The sequence below is a fragment of the Homo sapiens genome, chromosome 7 (assembly GCF_000001405.40).
Source record: "Homo sapiens chromosome 7, GRCh38.p14 Primary Assembly".
In the NCBI taxonomy this organism is placed as follows: domain Eukaryota; kingdom Metazoa; phylum Chordata; class Mammalia; order Primates; family Hominidae; genus Homo; species Homo sapiens.
This window is the reverse complement of record NC_000007.14, coordinates 115,967,806-115,990,013: the sequence shown is the minus strand read 5'-3', so window position 1 is coordinate 115,990,013 and position 22,208 is coordinate 115,967,806. Positions and strand designations below refer to the sequence as shown.

Here is a 22,208-nt window from a genome sequence, read left to right as displayed (position 1 = left end):
GGGCACCTGGCTGTATGAGATGTCAGTCAGCCCCTACTAGGAGGTACCTGCCAGTTAGGTTATTTGGGGGTCAGGGACCCACTTGAAGAGGCAGTCTGTCCATTCTCAGATCTCAGACTCCGTGCTGGGAGAACCACTACTCTCTTCAAAGCTGTCAGACAGTGACGTTTAAGTCTGCAGACATTTCTGCTGCCTTTTGTTCAGTTATGCCCTGCCCCTAGAGGTGGAGTCTACAGAGGCAGGCAGGCCTCCTTGAGCTGTGGTGCACTCCATCAAGTTCAAGCTTCCCGGCCGCTTTGTTTACTACCTAGTCAAGCCTCAGTAATGGTGGACGGCCCTCCCCAAGCCTCGCTGCCGCCTTGCAGTTCAATCTCAGACTGCTGTGCTAGCAGTGAGCAAGGCTCCGTGGGCATGGGACCCTCTGAGCCAGGCATGGGATATAATCTCCTCTGGAAAAGCGCAGTATTAGGGTGGTAGTGTCCTGATTTTCCAGGTACTGTCTGTCATGGCTTCCCTTGGCTAGGAAAGAGAATTCCCCGACCCCTTATGCTTCCCGGGTGAGGCGATGCCCCGCCCTTCTTTGGCTCACACTCCGTGGGCTGCACCCACTGTCTGACAAGCCCCAGTGAGATGAACGTGGTACCTCAGTTGGAAATGCAGAAATCACCTGTCTTCTGCATCACTCACGCTGGGAGTTGTAGACTGGAGCTGCTCCTATTTGGCCATCTTGGAACCTCCTCCCATGATTGCCTTATTATTTTAAATACATTAATGTAGATCAATGAAGAATAAGAAAATAAGCAATTTTATTTTACCTTAATTTATTCTGTTTCTGATGCTCTTTGTCTCTCTATGTAGGTCTGACTTTTTGACCTACATTATTTTCTTTCCCTCCTAGGAATTTTTAAAAGCATTTCTTGTAAGGCAGGGCTACTGAAAACAAATTTCCTCAATATTTGCTTGTCTACAAAAGTCTTTATTTCTCCTTTACCTTTTAAGGGAAATTTCACAACCTACAGAATTCTAGGTTGGTGGGTTTTTTCCCCCTCAATCCCTTAAGTATTTAATTCCTCTCTTCTTGCTTGCATGGTTTGTAAGGAAGAGTCAGATGTAATTTTTATCTTTGCTTCTGTATGGGTAGGGTGCTTTTTCTTCTAGATTTTTTTTCCAGAGTTTTTTTCTTTATCTTTGATTTTCTGTACTTCAAATATATTATGCCCAGGTATAGATTGTTTTTTGTTCTTGTTTTGTTTTCATTTGGCATTTGTTCTGCTTGGTGTTCTCTGAGCTTCCTGGATCTGTGGTTTGGTACATTATATTAATTGAAGAAATTCTCAGTCATTATTGCTTTAAATATTGTTTCTGTTTCTTTCTCCCTTTCTCTTCCCTTGGGTTTTCCCACTGTGCACATGTTACATCTTTTGTCATTGTCCCACAGTTCTTAGATATTCTTTTTTGTTTCTTTTTTTGTTTTTAAGCTTTTTCTTTTTGCTTTTCAGTTCTGTAGTTTCTTGTTGTGAAATCCTTAATCTCAGAGATCCTTTTCTCAGTCATCTTCAGTGTATTAATAAACTCATCAAAAGCATTCTTCATTTCTCTACAGTGTTTTTGATTTTTGTATTCCTTTTTGTTTTTTTTCTTGGAATTTCTATCACTCTGTTTGCATTGCCCATCTGCTCTTGCATGATGGCTACTTTATCTATTAGCATATTAATCATAGTTTTTAAAAAATTCATCCTGGTCTGATAATTTTAACTTCCATGCCATATCTGAGTCTGGTTATAATGCTTATTCTGCTTCTTCAAACCATGTTTTTTAGCCTTTTAGTATGTCTTGTAATTTTTTTTGATAGGCAGGATGTACTGGATGTAAAAGAAACTTATAAATAAGCTGTTAGTAATGTGGTGGGAAGGTTTTGGGTAAAGGAAAATATTCTCTATATAGGTTAATTTGCAATAGCAGCATGTTAGGATAATATTGAAACATAATTTTGAGTTCTAAAGATATGATTTACTTATTGTTTTAAAAACCAAAAAATTTCTCTTCATTTTGATGGTCTTATCTCTTTGAGAATTCAATGAAACAAATCACAATCTGTAGCTGCTCTGACCTCCTAGCAAATACTTTGATATCCTGATTATGGTTTATATGGTCTTCTAGTGGATTCCCAAGATTTACTCTAATGACTCATTCTTTCATTTTTATATGTGTTTATATGTTTATATATATATAAAACACATTTTATATGTGTTTATATGAGCACATATAAACACATTTTTGTGTGCCTGCTGTCTGTCATTCTCTGGGCTATGTACAAGAAGCATAGCAGTTGAGCAGCCAGCAAGATAAATACAGTCCTTGCCCATGAAGAACTCATTTTTTACTACCCTGTCTAGATTGTGACTATGCTGTATACTATTTGAGGGCAGACACTGTGTTAATCTGCCTTCTACCTTCAGTGTACCACTTAGTGCCCACACATGCTTGATACTCAAACACTGTGTCTTGAATAAGTGAACAAATGAACAATGGCAACCTATAATTTCATTTACTTTATCCCACAAAATATTGGCACATCCAGTTAGAGAAATTCACAAGATAATTTTATGTCTTTATAACCTAGGCAATTTTTAAGGTATTTTAAAATTAGTGGTACATAGTTAAACTGGTGTTTTACAGTGAGTTATCCCGTTGTTCTGATATTAGTTCATGGTTAGTAAAGTCAGAGATTTTTTTTCTAGGGAACAGTATAATCACATTTTATTGAATCTTTCCATGCTACACCAAGTTTTTATACTCTTCTGCTTAGTTTACAGATGTTGTACAGATAGCTTCCAACACAGTCCTCACTCTTGCCTGCTAAACTTTTGTAATTCCTCACAGATAATCAATAATTTCGGGAGAATTAGAGTTAGTCCCATACTATATTTTATTCTGACTCTGTATAGAGTGGCCTGAAGAGGAGATGGTATTCTTGCTTTGAGAAAAGTATCTGTGACTTCTTTTGCATGAGTAACATTTGTGACTGTCTCACAACTTCTTGTCTTGTTTCATCTGGATCTTTTCTATTTGAGATTTTCTTTTTATGTTTTTTTATATATACTTATTATACTTTAAGTTCTAGGGTACATGTGCACAACGTGCAGGTTTGTTACATATGTATACATGTGCCATGTTGGTGTGCTGCACCCATTAACTCGTCATTTACATTAGGTATTTCTCCTAATGCTATCCCTCCCCCCTCCCCCCACCCCACAACAGGCCCTGGTGTGTGATGTTCCCCTTCATCACACACTTGTGTGTCCAAGTGTTCTCATTGTTCAGTTCCCACCTATGAGTGAGAACATGTGGTGTCTATTTTTTTGTCCTTGCAATAGTTTGCTGAGAATATTTGAGATGTTCTTTCCTTTGCCTGCTGTGTAGTACTATCTCTCCTTCCAACAGCTGACTTAAAATCACTTTCTCTTTCAATATGTTTTTTTAAAACCACTTCTTTTTAATTTCATTGCATGTGTTATGGAGCTTTTGCTTTGCATTGTGAACATTTCAGTTATTTGCTCAGGAACCGATATTGTACTGCTGAGGAAGACAGGCTCTGTATTCCACTTCTTTCTCTCACTAGCTGAATGGTAATAGGTATGCCATTTAAACTCTCTAAATTTTAGTGGCTTCATCTATATAGTGCAATAGGGATACTAACTAATGGTACCTATCTCCTAAGGTTAAAACAAGAATGGAGTAAGATAATATATGTAAATTGTTTAGCATAGTGCCTAGTATCTGTTGCTTAATATTATTATCATTGTTGTTGTTGCTATAGTTGATATTAACACTTCCCAATAGATTGTAAACTCCTATAACCTTGGGATCACATCTGTGACTTCTTTTGTATTCTTGATATAACACAAGAGTAAGTGCTTCAATGAGGCTTTTGGAATGAATGGATGAAAAGTAAAAAATGAATTAGTTAATGCATGTTGTAAATTCTGATTCAACATATTCTTCTTAGAACAAGAGCTATTTCCCAATTGTAGGTATACAATGTTCTTTGGCATTCAGTTGCATAGTGTGAAAGATCATTCAGATTTGTGAAACTGAAAGTGTTCTTCATAATGTATATTTCATAAAAGTATACAGATTAAAAAGAATTAATTTAGAACAGTAGGATAATATAAATAGCTACCCTAAAAAAATTACCACTGGCATTTTAATGAAATGTTATTTTACAACTTTAAAGCTCATAGCAATATAATTAGTAATATGTGTAATCTTTATTACCAATCTTAATCTTTTTTATATGACTGAAAAATTATTTTATGCTAGTACAATTAAAATAATGCTAAAAATGTCAGCATAACAGAATTAAACTAAAGTAACTACTACAATATTGTACCCCAAACCAGCTAATTTAAATGCAAAATACTTTGTAGAGGCTATTTATCTGGGCTAATGCATGTTAAGGGATTTAAGGAGTAGTTTGTGTAACTGAAATAAAAGGAAAAATAAGCACTGTACAGCAATCTTTACTATTGTTTAACATGAGGGAAATATTAAATCGGTTTATATATAGGCCACTTGAGAAAAATGTATTAGAAGCCACAGAATAGCACAGTAAATATAAAGACTACTGCCAGGCAAAACTACGTTCACAGGCTTTTAAAGGGCAGATTTGAAATGCTTAAAGTTGTCCTTACACAAATGATAGTACAATATTAACTATGATAACTAGACTGAAGGTGTAAAATTTTGAAAGTATGTGGTATATTTTGAAAAAGGGATTTTGGCAGACTGGACAGTTGTTTAGCTGACACATGACAATCGTTAGATTTTTTTCTGAATGCTCCTGTCAAGTCATAATAATGACTATACCACTTTCTCATTTTTATAAGGTGAAAATATGAAAGGGTTTAAAAATAAGATTAAAAAAATAAAACTGGGCTCAGGATAGAAATAGGGAAGTACAGAAAAGTAGAAAAAAATCATCTAGATTTTCACTACCCATACAGTTTCACACTTAATATTTTGTACATATATTTCTAGTTCCTGCTCTCTTATAATTTTTAGTTTTCTTAAGAACAAAGTTTTGATCATATTCCATAGAATATTTATGTGTAATATAAAGGAATCCAAGTAATACATGTTATATACAAATTACTTGTAATAGTGAATCATCTGTATTTTCCTTACGTTATTTTAGGCCCTCATTTTTTAGACCCTCAAAAAATATTGTGGTTTTTATATTTATTCCTAATTTTTAGGGCTACTCATTTAAAAAAACTGGTTAGCATTTAAAATATTTTATTAAAGTTTAAATTACTTCTTAATAATCATAACCCATTAAAATTGTATGTAACTTATGACAGAAGTATGGACGATAGATTGGAGAGAAACTAGATGCTATAGTGTAGTGTGTTTATTATCCTAGTGCAATTGTGGAAAGGAGAACTCTAATTTCACAGCTGATGCTGCACATTGTATTTGTTTAATTTTGATCTTGTAGGTCCCAGCACACCTGGAAAGTTCTGCAAGGCCTCAGCTACAGAAAGCCCAGAGACAGAAAGTAAACTCTTTCATGACCCTTGATCATCAGATCATCAATCCAACTCTTAAATGGTCACAACCTGCAGTGCCAAGTGGTGGGCCTCTTGTGCAGCATGCACACACAACTCTGGACAGTGATGCTGGCCTCACAGAAAACCCACTCACCAAGTTACTAGCTATTGGGAAAGAAGATGACAATGCACAATGGCATGTATGTCTAATGGCTGGTTATAAAAATATATCATCAGTTTTTGAAAAAACCTCTATTAAAGTAATTGAAGTCAACATTTTACAGTAAACATTCTGATTGCAAATGTAACAAAAGAAATGTGCTTTTAATTAATTATTCTCTATTTATTAACTATATGCATATAAATTCCTATGCATAATAAATTATAAAAATTCTTGTTTAATATGCACTTCAAATATGTATTAATGTGAATTAAAATAGACACTAATAGTGGTATGTGTTTAGAAGATTTAGCCCTAATTGTAAATGTTTTCTGATAAATTTAGTTGAAATATTTATCAGTAGTTAAATTGTCTTAAATATCCATTAACATAAAACAGACAGAAATTACTTAAATAGCAGTAAATTTTTGCTGTAGAAATTGACTATTAGAATAAGACTAATAATTTTATTGCACTTATATGAAATTATATCTGGATCTTTTAACTTTTGCTTTTCTATACATTCAATTCTATTTTTAATAAATAGTTGGCTACTATTTACTAAATAACCGAAATTTAGAGGTGCTGATCATACAAAATAAATGAGTATTTAGCTTCATGGAGTTTATATTTATTGTGACTTGCTTGTAATGAACCTTCAGAAAATGTTGAAGTATGAATAGAACTGGGAAACACTGATACTAGAAAAAAGACTTCCTTTAATGTTTCAGTATAAAAAACTACATTAATAACTGAGCTTTCTTTTCTTTTTTTCCATTAGATTTGTTGATAAAGCTATGGTCCTATGATCTCCCAGGTTTAATCTCCCAATCTACATTCCTGGTGTTTATTGCCGATTTCAGGTCAATGCTTACCATCTATTAAGCCTGTAGCCTCCAGGCACAAAAGGATAATGCTCAGAATCCCATTATTTAAATTCCAAATGATAGAGAATTTTTTTAAACAAATTTTATGTTAACCTGGAAAAGAGAAAAAAATAAGGATGTGGCAGATTGTTAATAAAAAATAAAACAATAAAAAAAGGGACTTTTTGAAATCTAAAACCGAATGTAAATACCTACATGTATATTTACTCAAACTTTACAGTAGTGGATATATAAAAAACTTTCCTAAAAAATGAATGTAGAATCAGTTTCTCTATTCAGTCTATGAAGATTGTAAAAATATATATCAGATGAAATAATCTGTTCAGTAAATGTTAGATCTACACACAGTACAGTTTATCCTACAACTACTTCTCCCAAAGTTCATTTTCTTGTGTGAAAGGTTGATTTCTAAAGAGAAAAACAAATCTTGAAGGATATGCATATGCCAGTTAATTCTAGGTAAAATCTAGAAATGATTTTATTATATATTTTATAAAATATGTACTCTAAAAAATGAGAATGGAAAAGCAACATAGATCAGCTTTCTGCCTTTTATTTACTTTTTTTATTCTTTAAGCACACATCTTACCTTTGCTTTTATCCTAAGTTTGTATATATAAAGAAAATTCACATGTTTTTAGTGGTCTTTGGGTGCTCTCAATCAAATAATCTCATGGCTCAGAAGGGTTGAAAGTCCCAAGAATTGCTCTGGCCTTGGGGCAATGTGAACGAACAATGGCTATAGACAATTTTTTTCTATTTTTTTAAACCATCATATTTTAAATTATGTATACAAAAGTATCTCCCAACCATCATTAATGTCCATTTAATCACAGTTTTACTGAGTCTGTAATAGTTTTAATCAGTGTGTGGTCTCTTTGAATTTGGTATGTTTATACATTTTCACATACTGCCATCATTCACAGACTTACTATCTTTGATAGCTAGGATATACCCTGTGTTGTCGCAATAGTCTAATACTTTTACTGGTTCTTGGAGTCTGACTCAAGGCAGAAAGTGTATAGTCTTTGGATATAGTCAGTATAGTATAGCTGTGTGGTTTCAGTCCTTAATTTCTCTCACCCATGTGTGTACACATTGTAGAGTTGTTTTGATGCTTGAATTTTAAATTTTTAACACAAGGGCAGAGTGGGAGCCCAGGAGATGGTGTCTGTTGCCATCTTTTGTTTTTTTTTGTTTTTTTTTTCTCCCAAGCCTTTTCCACCTGTGACATCAGGGAGCATTTCATCAATTCAAAGAAGACCCCAGAAATCATAGCTACCACAGGATAAGTCTGAGAACAGCTTTAGATTCAGGATTTGGTAATTGGAATTAGGAGTAACTTGAAGACTGAAAATCTTTAAGATGAAATGTAAAATCAAAAGAAGCATTTTGTAACATGGGTCTTTCTGAGATACAATTCAAACTTCTACCCATAGCACATGGACCCTTCTGCACTTAACCCTTGCACCTGGCTCAGACTTATCCTTCAGTATCCCCATAGAGCTTCATGTTTCAGCTCTATGGGTTTACCACTGGTTCTCATGGTGGCGGGGCTCTCCTTCTTACACCTTTTCTTTACCTCCTGCTTATTTGATCATGACCGTTTGTCTGGATAATTCTAGCTCACCCTTCAAAATTCATTTCAGGTTTCTTGTCTAAGGTGCTTTCCCTGGTGATGCTCTGTCTGGGCTTAGCGCCTGTTATCTGAGTTTTCATAGCAACGCTGATATCATATGGATAACAATTGCACTTTTCATGGCATTCTCACAGCACATGCTACATTTTAATTATGCCTTTTTTCTTTTTCTTATCTTTTAGTCTGTTAATTGCTTGATGAAAATACAATACCTTATTCACATTTTAATATCTAGCTCCTAAGATGAATTTCTGCCAATTAATAATCAGTGCATATTTTTGGCAAATTTATAAGTTAATAATGAGTACCCTTATTTCAATAATATTTCTCTACTTGCTGTTATTAGTACAGTGATACTTTAAGTAATGTGGTATAATTTGAGAAGAACCATTAGAAAAGTGAAATCAAGGTATTCTAGAAACTCAGAAGATAAATTTTTTCAATGTGAGGTCTCAGGAAATTCTGGAAGTGGTAATACTTGAGTTGGGTGTTGAAAGACATATACATCAACAGCAAAGATGACGGAAGATAATTTTTTTGAGTAGAGAATGCTGTAAGCTAAGGGCAGAGTAGACAAGCATAAGTGGGTTTGAGAGTGATACAATTTGGTACAAATAAGTGACTGAGGTTAGAAAGGAGGATTAGGGTGGGGCTACAGGACTTAAATGCAGATCTGGGAACTTAGAACATGATTCCAAGGTAGTGGGGGACTGTATCAATTAGATCTGCATTAGGAACATGCAAGAGAAAATAACTTCCCATGATTTAACTAAATGAGAGTTACAAATTTTTCTCCCATAATAATCTTATATTATCTCATATAATCTTATGCAATTATGTCTTATAATTATTAACAACATAGAATATTAACAGTGATATTAACAACAAAAATAAGAGAGTATTCATTTAGTCTTTATGTCAGGTGGTATTTTAAATTAATTTTTTAAACAGCACTATGGTTTACTATTATCTCCTTTTTTTGTTTTTGTTTTTTTTTGTTTTTTTTGTTTTGTTTTGTTTTTGTTTGGCGACAAGTCTCCCTCTGTTGCCCAGGCTGGAGTGCAGTGGCACAATCTTGGCTCACTGTAACTTCCACCACCTGGGTTCAAGAGATTGTCGTGCCTCAGCCTCCCAGGTAGCTGGGACTACAGGCACAAGCCACCACGCCCAGCTAATTTTTGTATTTTTAGTAGAGACGGAGTTTCGCCGTATTGGCCAGGGTGGTCTTGAACTCCTGACCTCAAGTGATTCACCTGCCTTGGCCTCCCAAAGTGCTGGGATTGCAGGGATGAGCCACCATGCCCAGCCCCTATTATCTCCATTTTTAAAACAGGGCAACTCCCATGAAAAGTAGGCCAGAAGTAGGTAGTCAGAGGCTGTTGTAGTTCTCTGTGATGTCAACATAGATCAGTTCTTCCTCTTTCTTCTTCACTATGTGACTTTTATCTTAATGGGCCTCATGTGATCACAAGGGGGCTGCTTCATCTCTCAGGCCCTCAAACCAGATGGACAGTAGAGAGAGAAGCTAGGAGAATGCCTCCATGAGGAAAGGAAAAATTTTGCAGGAATTCACAAGAGACTTATGCTTATGACTTAGTCAAAACTGTGTCACATGGCCACATTTAGCTGATGTGAAGCTGAGAAAAATGCATTTTTCTTCTGAGCATATTGTTTCATCAAAAACATTAGTAAGAAAGAAGAAGAAAATTGATATTTACTACACAACTCTCAATGGATCTGCTGTGGGAACAAGTTTTTGAGTACAAAAGTATCATAATCAAAGCAATGCTTCAGAAACATTTAAATGGCGGTTGAGAGGGAAAGAATTGAGGTTAAGTTTCATGCTACATGAACAGATGACAGAATATTACAGTGCAATTTAGTTATAGCCTGAATCAGGAAAATTGGTGGTAGAGAGAATAAAAGAAATGAACTCAGGGGTAATGTTGATGCGTCTCAGTGTCATATTGTATACGAAAGTGAAGGTGGAAGATGAGTTTGGTGCAATTTTGAGATTTTTGAGCCTTTACAGGATGAATAACATACATAGATGAAGGGACTGTTAAGAGAAGTATGGTAGTTAGAAGGAGTGTAGAGTTTGGCATGAAAGTGATGATGAGTTAACTTAGGACAACCAGGAGAAGAGGTTCAAAGGACAAATGAAAATAAAAAATCTATTTCTCAAAAAAGAACTTAGAACGGTCAATAAGATTTCATTTATTTCTTCATTCAGACAGCTGTCATTGCCACATGCTCAGGGAACAAACTGCACATCCTATATAATCTATACCATATAGGAGCTTCAGGTTGAGGGCAAGAGAAAAAATTAACAAATAATTATAATATTATATAAAAAGACTTAGAGGAAAATGACTAGTAGGGCATTTAGCCAGATGGGATAGCATGAGCGCAGAATAGAGATGGGAAGCAGTGTGAAATGAATAGAAAAGAAGGCAGATGGTGGTAAAAGATGACATCAAAGAAGTAAGTAATCAGCAAATTACAGAGAGGCTAGTACTCCATGTTAAACAGTATCAAGTCACTGTAGGGTTGAAACTTGGGACCTAGGGTAACATAATCAGATTTGACTCTAGATCACTTTGTCAGCTATATAGAGGGAGAAGTCTGGAGTCAGGGATAGGGAACAGCTGGGAGTCTATTTCTATTGTGGGTGTGAGAAAGTGAGACTCTCCCTTAAAACATGTTGAACTGTGGTATCAGTGAGATCATCACGTGGAGATGTTGGTGACAGCTAGATATCCAAATCTGCTGGACTGGAGGAAGAGATTTGAGGTTGTCAGCATACGGATGGTCTTTGAAATCTTGAATGAGAAATAAATCCCCTTGAGAACCTGAATACAGTGAGGAGAGTGATAGCTAAAGATACTCTTTTGAAGATGACCAACATTTAAGGGATGGTTAGAAGAGAAAGCCCATAAAAGTAAAGTAAAAAGATAACTGGGAGAGTGCAATGTCATTGATGCCAAAGAAAGAATTAGTTTAGAGAAGGAGGGAGTGATTCACACACCCAAATATAGCAGATGAGTCTAGTAAAATAAGAACTGATCAATATCTGTTGAACTTGGCAAAGAGTGAATAAAAATAACAACAAAAGGGATGTCAGTAGGATGGTGAGCAGAAGCCATTCTATTTTGAATTCAGAGTTAATAGAAGGTGGAGAGATTGACTATCTGGGATGTTTGGGATAGTTGGACAGAAAGGTAACAGAGCAAAGGCATAACGGGTCATAAAATAAAAATTGTTCAGGTGATCTGCCAGTGTTCAGACTGGATCTAAAACAAAGGCTGCATTTGATGAGTAAGATCATGGATTTTAAGATTTTTAGGTTTATGTGCTGAACTATCAGATTTAGAGAGTGCTGAGTTAAAATATTCAACTGCAAGTGTTGATGTACTTTTCCACAGAATTCTGACAGTTGTATATATTTTTAGGTGTATACGTGTTCATGATCACTTGGTATTATTTTTCCTTTAGATTTTAACCTTGAATTTTATATTGCTTAATATGAATACCACTACTGTGGATTTCCTTTTGGTTATATTTATGATACCTTTTTTAACCTTGTTTCAGCTTTTTCTGTTGTTTACTTTTAAGTGTGTCTCTTATAGACAAAATATTACAAAACCTTTTAAAAATCCAATTCAAGAGAGAGTTTCTCAATCAGTATGTTAACTCATTTATATTCTTGTACTTACTTTACTATTAGGATTTAACAGTTACAATTTCTTATGTTTTAAGTTACTATGCTTTCCGTTTCTTTGCCCTCTTTTTTCTATCTTCCATTGGTCAGTTTTTATCTTCTTTTCTGTTTGTTACTTCTAATATTTTAAGAGTCATCATTATGTTTTTTTCTACATCTATATCCTTGTTTAACATTATATATGACATACTCTTAAGTAAAAATCTACCTTAGTATGGTCTCATCTCCTTGTTGTCACCCACCTTTCTGAATTGATATTTATAGAATTTATCTATGTATAGAATTCATGTATATATATGTACTTATCTATAGAAATACATATGTAATTATTATGCATGTATGTCTCTCTCTACATATATCTAGAGTTACTTAGATCACAAACATTTTACTGTTCTTTACTCATTCTTTTGTTTTGTATCAGTTTCATGGTTTTATTTATCTTCTGACTGGAGTACTCCTTAAACTGTTTTTAAAAGGTATTTTTGCCTTAAAGTTTCTGAGTTTTTATATCCAAAAAGAATTTAATTTCATCCACATACTTAAAAGATACTTTGTTGGCTATAAATATGTAGGTTCAAAGTTCTTTACCTTTAATATTTCTAGTATTATCCCATTTTCTTCTTGCACTCAGTGTTGTTAAAAAGTTTTGTTCTTTTGTAAACCTTTATTTTCACATATCTGAAAACATAAATGTTTTCCTTTGTCCTTGAATCTTATACTTTCTATGCCTATTATCTCCATTTTTACTTTTGTCAAGCAATTTGCTCTTTCTTTGTATTCTTATGATCTTAATTTATTATTTTGAGGATGCTTACTTGCGGGTTTGTAATTCTTATTTTGTCTGATCTATTAATTCTGTTTCATCTGATACAAAATGGTGTGTTTTTTGTCTTTTTAAAATAACAAATGGATTCTTGGGTTTTTAATTATGGAGATACTTAGAAGTTGTGAAGGTTTTAGGCTGGGTTTTAGATTTTAACATCCATTAAGATAATGGTAAAACTGAAATTAGGGAAAAAAGTAGTCATGTAGGTAGATGACAGAAATGAGGGATAGTAGTGTTAAAGGCAAAGGCACAGCCTCCAAAGGAGGATGTTTCTCATGTAACAAAGAAAAGTTTCTTTCTGGAATAAGGGAAACCTAAGCATGCTTTATAGTCAACATGAAAAATTAAACAGACCGTGTCATTTATGACGTAAGCTTCCAGAGAGAAAATAGATGAATGACTTATGTGTAACTTTTACTGAATCCACTCCAAGTATCCAAATGAAAAGCACTCCTCATAAATTATGTTTAGCAATCTTCTTTCCTCAAATCTTCTTCACATCTGTTCAGTACAAGGTTTTTGCCCGTTTAGTGGTAGAATATAAGTAAAATATCACAAAATAAAAATTCAAGTTTAATAACAATCAATAATTTACTTAAAGAATTTCAGAGACTGGACCAAACAAAAGAAACAAAATATGCACATCTATTAACCTAGCTTCTTTAAAGATCTCTCTGTGCACAAGGATTTAACATCTGACCATGGCTAGAGCTACACCCTCCACTGTAGTACCCATGAACCACATGTGTCTATTTGAATTTAAAGTTAGTACAAATTCAGTAACTTATTTATTTTTATTTTTTGGAGATGGGGTCTCACTCTGTCACCTGGGCTGGAGTGCAGTGGTGCAATCTCTGCTCACTGTAGACTCTGCCTCCGGGGTTCACATGATTCTCCCACCTCAGCCTCCCAAGTAGCTGGGACTACAGGCACACACCACCACGCCTGGCTAATTTTTGTATTTTTCAGTAGAGACAGGGTTTCATCATGTTGGCCAGGCTGGTCTAGAACTCCTGACCTCAAGTGATCTGCATGCCTCAGGCTCCCAAAGTGCTGGGATTGCAGGTGTGAGCCACTGCACCCGGCCAAATTCAGTAACATTTAAAAAAATTAAATGAAATTAAAATTTCATTTTCGCAGTTACACTAACCACATTTCACGTATTTAGTAGTCATATGAGGGCATGTGGTTAGTTATTACTATTAATACATTGGTCATTTCAGATGTAGGACATTCCCATCATTGCAGAAATTTCTACTGGATACCACTGGCCTTGAGGATTCTGTGATGTCAGTTTCTTGCATACTTTTCCACTTCATCTCTAACCGCTCTTGCCTTTGCGCACTCTGCTCTATTCCCATTAGTGCTCATTCTTTCTCAAACATGTTGAACTTGTTCCTACTTTAGGTGTTTCTTATTGTTTTCCCAAGGATGACCCTTTCCCATGTTAATCTTATGTCTGTTCAAATGTCAGTAAATCTTCTCTGATGCACTTTATAAAATAACAACCATTTTCATCAAGCCGTATCCTCTACCTGCTTTAATTTCCTCAGCCCACTATTTGTTATTAAGCTGTTTATGGGTCTGTTTCCTTAAGACTTTGAGCTGCATAAGAGGAAGAATTTCCTGCTGTTGGCTATGGTAGCTCCAGTTCTAACCACAAGATCTCACAGTAAACATTGCTTAATTAATATTTGTTAAGATATGAATAGTGTTCCATATTTTTTGGAGTATCTTAGTAGAATTCTCCGAACACTCAATTCTCTTAAGTTCCTAGATATCTTGCTTTGAAGATAACATCAATAGAATTATAAAATATTTTTCCATATCTATTAGAGTGTACTCCTGACTGTATCTGCATATATCATGGGAAATTCACAGTACTGTAGTTATATAAATAAAACATTCACAATATATTTGAGTTTATATCACATTTAAAAATTTAACTAAATGGAATATGATGGAAGCAAAGAGAGCTAGAGCAGAGAGAGAGAAAGAGAGAGAGAGAGAAGCAACCATTTTTTTAAACATATAAACTTTAAAAATCTCCCCTAGCTAAAGTACAGAAGGGAAGGAAAGTTTCTATTTTAGAAAAGAACTGAGAAAGGAAATAGAAAGCCAATAAGATTTGGACTATAGAGCCAAATTTCTAGGATGTCAGTCCTTCCTCCACCACTCACTCACTATATAATCTGGGACAAATTATTGAATTTTTTTCTCTCAGTTTCCTTTTCTATATAGCAAAGTACTCATTTCATTGAGTGATTATAAGTATTAAATGAATGATGTATGTAAAGCACTTAGAAGCATGCCTGGTACCTCTCATGCACTATAAAAGTGATTTTTATTGTTACTATTTAAAATGTTCATAATTATTGCTGTTTTTGTTATTGCTATTGCTATTACCTATTATTATTGGTCTTTAGAGAAGGTAGGATGAAATGTTTCCGTCTCTTCTATATCTACAGGAATGTACTGGGTAATATTTAACCATGAATATTTAGATATCCACATGTAAGATGCAATCAGAACATTTTAAAAGAAAAATAAAGTTTGTAGAAAGTAATCTCTGTACATATTAACTATAGGGACCCTATCTGCCTTGAGATATTTCATGATAACCACTCTATTTATGTAGATACTGATTTCCAAGAGACTAGCCCAGGGTGATTTGTCAAGTTGTCACCTGTCAGCCTTTGGACACAAATGCAAGAAAAAGCAACAGACCAAAGATTGTCAGGATTCCTGCATTTTCAATGCTAAAGTAATCTGTGTTTTTATATATATATATATATATATATATATATATATATATATATATAATATTGAGGTTTTATATATATGTATATATAACCTCAATTTAAATTGTCTAAAAACTTTTAAAGATTGCTAGAATTTTTCTCTCTGTTTTCAGACTGAAGCACAACTTTTATCATTATGTACAATATTCTAAATGTATTATATTTTGCTAGATGGAGGACGTTATTGAGGATATAATCGGTATGGAATCAAGTTTTAAAGAGGAAGGAGCAGACTCTCCTCTGCTAATGCAAAGAACAGTAAGTGCTTTCAGACCCAAGAAGGTCATTGAAACAGAAATGAATACACTCTGATAATAAAAATATTTGATTAGCAACTGGTGCTTTTTTCTGCACTTTTTAAACAGACAAGATAAAAGATGAATACTAGAAAATATTTATTGGTGCAGAAAAAAAGGTTATCTAATGGTTGAAGAATATAGTGCTTGTACTAATCTCTCTCTCTGTCTCTCTCTGTCTAATCCTATATACATGCATCTAACTATATATCTAATTTGCTAGCATTTTCTGTAAGGAATTTAATCTTTAGATTTTCTATTTTAAGCACAGCAAGTAATCAAACACTCTTAAAAGGTCATGACTAAATTTTGACTATTTTACCATGACTAATACAGCTTTCAGATTTAGAGGCTCTATACCTTTGTAGAAGAAAGAAAATATTACAACAATGAAAAATATAAATTTACTTCTAAGCCAATAGCCAGAGGTTAAAGTCAAATCGAAAAAGATAGAACAGGCCTCACCCTCCTTTAAAGTATGTAGAAAGACTTCTATGTTGAAATCAGTACAAATTCCTGCAATATGAAGGGATAGTGTATTATCTCCTATTTGCTTGCTATGCGCCTTCTGATTGTTCATTTATGAATCATAAAAATGTTATCTGTAAAGGGTGTGTAAGCTCTTTCAACATATTTTGAAGGATTATTGTTTGTTTGTTTACAGTTTACAATCTTTTAGAGAACAGGAGAAAAAAGAATCTCAAAGATCGCAATTGAATTGTTACTTTAAATATTTAATTTAAAAAAAGTGAATTCTGACTATATTGAGTTGTGGACTATTCATCTATAAGTCAATAGGCTAGACTACATTATGATGGATGTTTTCAATTTAGGGCCTAGAAAAAAAATGGTGGAAGCATCCCTTTTTTCTGTATCAATTCTTAAGTAGACTATCTAATGAGAGAAGTGTCTCTTTCTCCTTTTCTCTAGTATGCAGGACCTCCACATAGTGCTAGTCAAGTCACCAGTACTAACTCTACCTGCTAAATATCAGATGAGGTTTCAAATCTGTTTTTTGTTGCAGGATTTTTTTTCAGTTTTCATTTTTTTAAATATAGAATGATGACTCTACCTTTTTTCTCTTCAGATTTCAAGTAGCCATAGTGACATGAAAACTAATTCTCTAGATACATTTGATATTAATGCTAATATCTCCCTTTCTAATTTCACAGCATGAGGATCCTATTTTCTTAAGCAATATTCAACTTCTGAGCTTGAGGAAATGATATTAATTTCCTGCAGCCTTCTCTTCTTTGTACATGGTACTTACTTCATTGAAATTGTATACTGAAACATTCTCTGTCAAATTATCTACTTGTTTTGTAGAGTCTTTGTAGAATGGTTTACTCAGTAAAAAATTGGTGATGAATTTCATTGGGAATATGTGTTTGATATACACAATGTACTTTTACATAGATGGATACTACTGGTCTAAGTGTATTTACATAAAGAAATATCTGCTGTTAACTAACCAAAGATAACTGATAATTTAGATCCACATGTAAAACAAAGCAGTTCAATTAACCAAATATTTACTGAATACTTATTATATGTAAAGCATAATATTCACACAATATGAGACTGCAAGTTGAGTGAGGCACAATTCACATGTCAAGAGATGACAATATAATGGGGTAGCACAATGAGTTGTACCTGAGAGAGGGCGGGAAAGAATGTGGAACTTGGGTCAAACCCATTTCTAGTCCAGACATTGTGCAAATCACGTAACCTGCCTTTGCTTTGGTATCTATTTCTGTATTATGGGAATAATGAAAAATATTGGTCTCTGAAGGCTGTTTTAATTGATATCTTATAGACTACATGTGTTCATTTTGAATGCTAGTCAGAGATTTGCTCTGCAGCTCAAATGAAGGAGAAACCATGAGAAAGTGAGAATTTTTGGAAGTCCTTTAGAAAGAGGTGATGTTTGAAATATAGTTATGAAGTACTGTATAGTTAAGATTTTAAGAGATAGACATGAAGGCAGAAAAGTAGCAAGTTAAGAGAACAACATAAGGCAAGAAGTGAGAAAAAAGAGAATGTACAAGAATAGCTGGTAGAATAGGGGTAGGAAACTCTGAAGGATTTTTATAGTTTATGTAGATAAAAGCAAAGACTTGTTAGATTCAGAAAAAAGCTTTGAGTAAGTATATTAGCCAGTGAACTTTTGGTTGCAGGTGGTTAACCTGACTCATAAGGGGCTTAAGCATGAAAGGAATTTATTGGTTCATGCCATCTAAAAATCCCTAAGTAATATTGTATGTGGGCATCCCTTTGTAAATTTGTCTCTGTTTTCTTCTGTGCTGGCTTTATTCTCAGCCATTGAACAGACACTGTCATAGCCTATTCCCAGCCATGCATACACTTTTTTCTTGCTAACCTAGTTTTTTTTCAGACATCCATTCCTTCACAAGAAAGAGGAAGTTTCTGATTAATTTAAACCAATTCTGGTGGCCCCATTTCCTTTGCCAGAGATTGTTTTAAGAATGGGCTTGTGCTGCAATTCTGGCAAGTTGAGCAGGATACTGAGACCTGCTTGGAAGTTTTCTTCAGTCTGTAATTTCAAGAAAGAGAAGGCTTTTTGCTTCTCCATGATTTATGGGGCTTCTGTAGCCTTTTTTTTCCCCCCAAAAGGTAGATAAAGTGAGGAAAAACAAAAGAAACAAAGGGAAAGAGAAAATCAACAGATATGGAAAGAAATGCTGCTTATATGCCCCTGGAGAATTATTTTGCCTATGGATATGTAAGGTTTTTTTTTTCTTTATTTTATAAGCCAATTATATCAGGATTTTCTGATTCTCAAAAACAAATGCATCCTAATGGAAACATTCAGTTAGTACGGGATACCTAAGAGGAAGTATTTTTCTTCTTAGTTCCAGTTAAAGCTCTGAGATAATGGAGCAGCTTCTGTCACATATCTATTTCTAAGCCAATGTCTCTGGGTCTTGGGCCTACCCTAGAGCTGTGGCTTGAACAGCCCTCCACAACAAATTGCCCAGACTAAGAGTGAGAACCAAGAAAGCAGTAGTCGTTACCCAAGCAAATGTGAATGGATTCTAGTCAGGCTAAATTAACAGATGTTTATTAAAATAAGCTTCAAAAATGAGAATATTTACCAATAATTATTATTATGTTTACCTACTATATGACATGGGTTGTCTGCGTTAGTCCATTTTACATTTCCATAAAGGAATACCTAAGGCTGGGTACTTTTTAAAGAAAAGGGGATTATTTGCCTCACGGCTCTGCAGACTGTATACGTGAAGCATTACCCTGGTATCTGCTTCTGGTGAGGGCCTCAGGAAGCTTTTAGTCATGGCAGAAAGGAAGGGGAGCCAGAGTGTCACATGGTGAGAGAGGGAGCAAGAGAGAGGGGAGAAGTTGCCATGCTCTTTTAAATAACTAGCTCCTATGTGAATAATTGTCCTAGTTCATTATCTAAAGCTAGCCCTACCATTTGTGTCTGGGATCCCTTCCAAAGGACTTTTCTTCTCTAAATAGCTCCTCCTTCTAGATCATGAATATATGCTGATCTACTGTATTATAAATATCAGCATTTATCAATCTTTAATAACACTCACTAAAAGCAAACCTAACCAAACAGCACCCTTTAAACGCATTTCCTCTCTGGCTACTAGGCTATTTCATGACTCCTTTACATACAGACACAAAAAAACTCACTGCCCCCATTTTCTCCCTGCCTCGACTTCCTTCCCTCTCATTCTCTCCTCCCCAATAGGGCTTTTGTCCTCACAATTCTAAAAGGGCTCTGAAAACCAATCAATAGCAAGCCAATCAATAGCAATCAATAGCAAACTAATCCAGTAGCAAATTCTCCATTGTCACCTGACTTGGCTCCTCAGTGGCATTTAACATGGTTCACCACTTCCTTCTTCTTGAAGAGCTATCTGGGGTTCTGTGGATTCTCTGATTTTTCACTCATTTTACTGGTTCTTTTTCTTCTCACAGATGTCTAAATTCTGGAGTGTCCTAAGGCTCAGTCTTTGGTCCTCTTTTCTCATATATCAATACATGTCCTATAGGTAACATCAACACATCTCTAGCCTAGATCAATCCCCTATATGCCAGACTTATATATTCTACTGCTTACTTGATATCTTTTGTGGTTCTAACAGGTATCTTAAACATAGCATGGCTGAAAAGAAGTCCTTCCTCCAAAATCTGCTTTTAGTTGATGTGAAAGAAACAAACAAAAATGGTCATTCTTTGCTTTTCTCTCTCTTACTCCCATACTCACATCTATCAATATGTTTTTGTAATCTACATCCAAGATTTCCAGAATCTCACAGGTTCCTATCATGTCCTCTTGTAAAACAAGTTCCATCATCTCTCCCTACAGCCACAGGCTCTGACCTAGCTTTCCTGCTACATTTTGTTCCCTTACAGCTGTTCTTCACAGAGCAGCCAGAATAATCTTCCTAAAGAAATAATCAGATCCTGTTTCTCCTTGCTTAACATTTTATTAACTTTCTGAAATATTCGGAATATAATCCAGACACTTTATTATAGTCAGCACTTCCCTTTGACTTCAGGGTCTGGATTCAATGGCATCCTTTCTCCTCAAACATGACAGGAATATTATCATCTTACAACCATTGCACTTCCTTTGCTTAGTTTGGAATGCTTTTGTCTCAGATCTTTGCATGGTTACCTCTTTATGATTCAGATCTTTAGTCAATGTCAGCTTGTCAAAGGGGCCTTTCACAATTACCCTAACTCCATGACTCCTCAAATCAATGTCTTATTTTATTTACCCTCTGACTTATGAGTAGTGTAACACAAATGATCTTCTTTATTACTGCATTTACCTATTTATTCTATGCTTCCCCCTGTAGAATGCAAACCCCTTGAAGACAGGGATTTTGTATGTCTCATTTACTGCTGTGTCTCTGGAGCCTAAAACAGTAGCCTGTTTTGTTGTTGTTAGTACCCAGCATAGTGACTAACACATCACAGGTGCTCAGCAAATGCATGTTAAATAAATGACTAAAATTCACACATAGTATTGAAATAATTGTTTTCATTATAATTCCTATTCAGGAATACTTTATTCTTGTTGCAGTAGCATGGTACTACTGCAACAAGAATAAAGACAACAATAATAATAGCTACCATGCATTGGTTACTTACTAGGTGACAAGAATTATGCAAAATACTTTTAGTGAAAAACTACATTTAATTTCACAACAAACCTATGAGATAGAGACTGTTATTGCCTATTAAAATTTTACAAATGAGGAAAGAAGCTTAGAGAGTTCAGTAACTTGCCCAAGTTCATATAGTTAATGAATGGCAAAGTAGGGCCTTGAATCCAGCCCTGCATGAAACCAGTGCAACTATCTTACCCATTCTGCTGTGCCAGCGGTCTCAGGGAAGTAGCCATTGCATAGAACTATAGAATCCTATGATTTGAAGGGGTCTGAGACAGATCTTATCATCTGGCACACTCCAGCTGAATGATTGCTTAGCCTCTGAGTTTAGATCTGTGTATTATTTACACCCATTGGTCTTAGTTTCACCCCTTTCTTTCAGAGACGTGGTTGTGCATAGTAACTCATTTCTTTTAACATATATAGGTATTTTTTCAATCAAGTGTCTGTAAATGCTGGTGGCATTTGGTAGTCTAAGTAAACTGTTATAGTTCAAGATCATTCCAGAGACGAGGAATGAGTAAATATTAACAACCCCCTGTGCTTGGTTGGAACTTGAAAGGACTGCATAACATCAGTGAGCAAGCTTTTGTCAATCACAATCTAGACAAGATTAGTCTTAAAGTCCAAAGAAGAACCAAAGTTCACTTTAGTGTAGAAGTTTCCACACAGTTCTCTTGGTTATTGTTTGCAAGTTTAAGGAAAAGAAAATGATGAAGGAGAAAGAGAAAACCATTGCTATTGTGAAGGTTATAGACACTTCAAAGTTAAAACTGGTGAGCAAGTATATTTTGGAATTCTTTCAGTGTTTGGAGATGAAACCACCTTAAATACTGAATTTAAACTTTATAAACTTATAGTCAATAAAATAAGGTATGTGAACATTGAGCTTTGAAACGCATAAAATATATTCTGCTGTATTGACAAGCATGCTTACTTACAAGATTATTTTTAGTGCTCTGGACTATAGTAAAAAATTATAACAGTATATTTAGTAAAAAATATTCAAACTCCTGTTTATTATTACTTTTTAATCAAAAGATGAGGGTTTCAAACTAATTGTTGCAGTGTTTACATTAAATTAATTGTTTTTATTTATTACTAAATAGGTCATATGTATATAATATGCATGATGCAAAAGTATTTATAAATTAT

The 22,208-nt window shown here is 34.5% G+C and overlaps 1 protein-coding gene across 20 annotated transcripts in view; it reads left to right on the top strand.

Moving 5' to 3' along the window:
- TFEC (transcription factor EC) overlaps positions 1-22,208 on the top strand; it is a 224,745-nt gene that overhangs the window by 169,883 nt on the left and 32,654 nt on the right. For 12 of the 20 annotated variants that reach the window (XR_007059992.1, XR_007059993.1, XM_011515969.2 and 9 more), the window contains 2 exons: positions 5,501-5,752; positions 15,758-15,844. Coding sequence is in view for 17 of the 20 variants with exons in the window: in XM_011515969.2 (XP_011514271.1) it covers positions 5,501-5,752; positions 15,758-15,844 (339 nt within the window). In the remaining 3 variants the exon portion in view is untranslated. Of the gene's footprint in view, positions 1-5,500; positions 5,753-15,757; positions 15,845-16,926; positions 17,145-21,704; positions 21,830-21,855; positions 21,927-22,208 lie in introns of those variants that run through there. The other 8 variants (XM_011515970.2, XM_047420054.1, XM_047420053.1 and 5 more) reach the window with 4 other exon arrangements.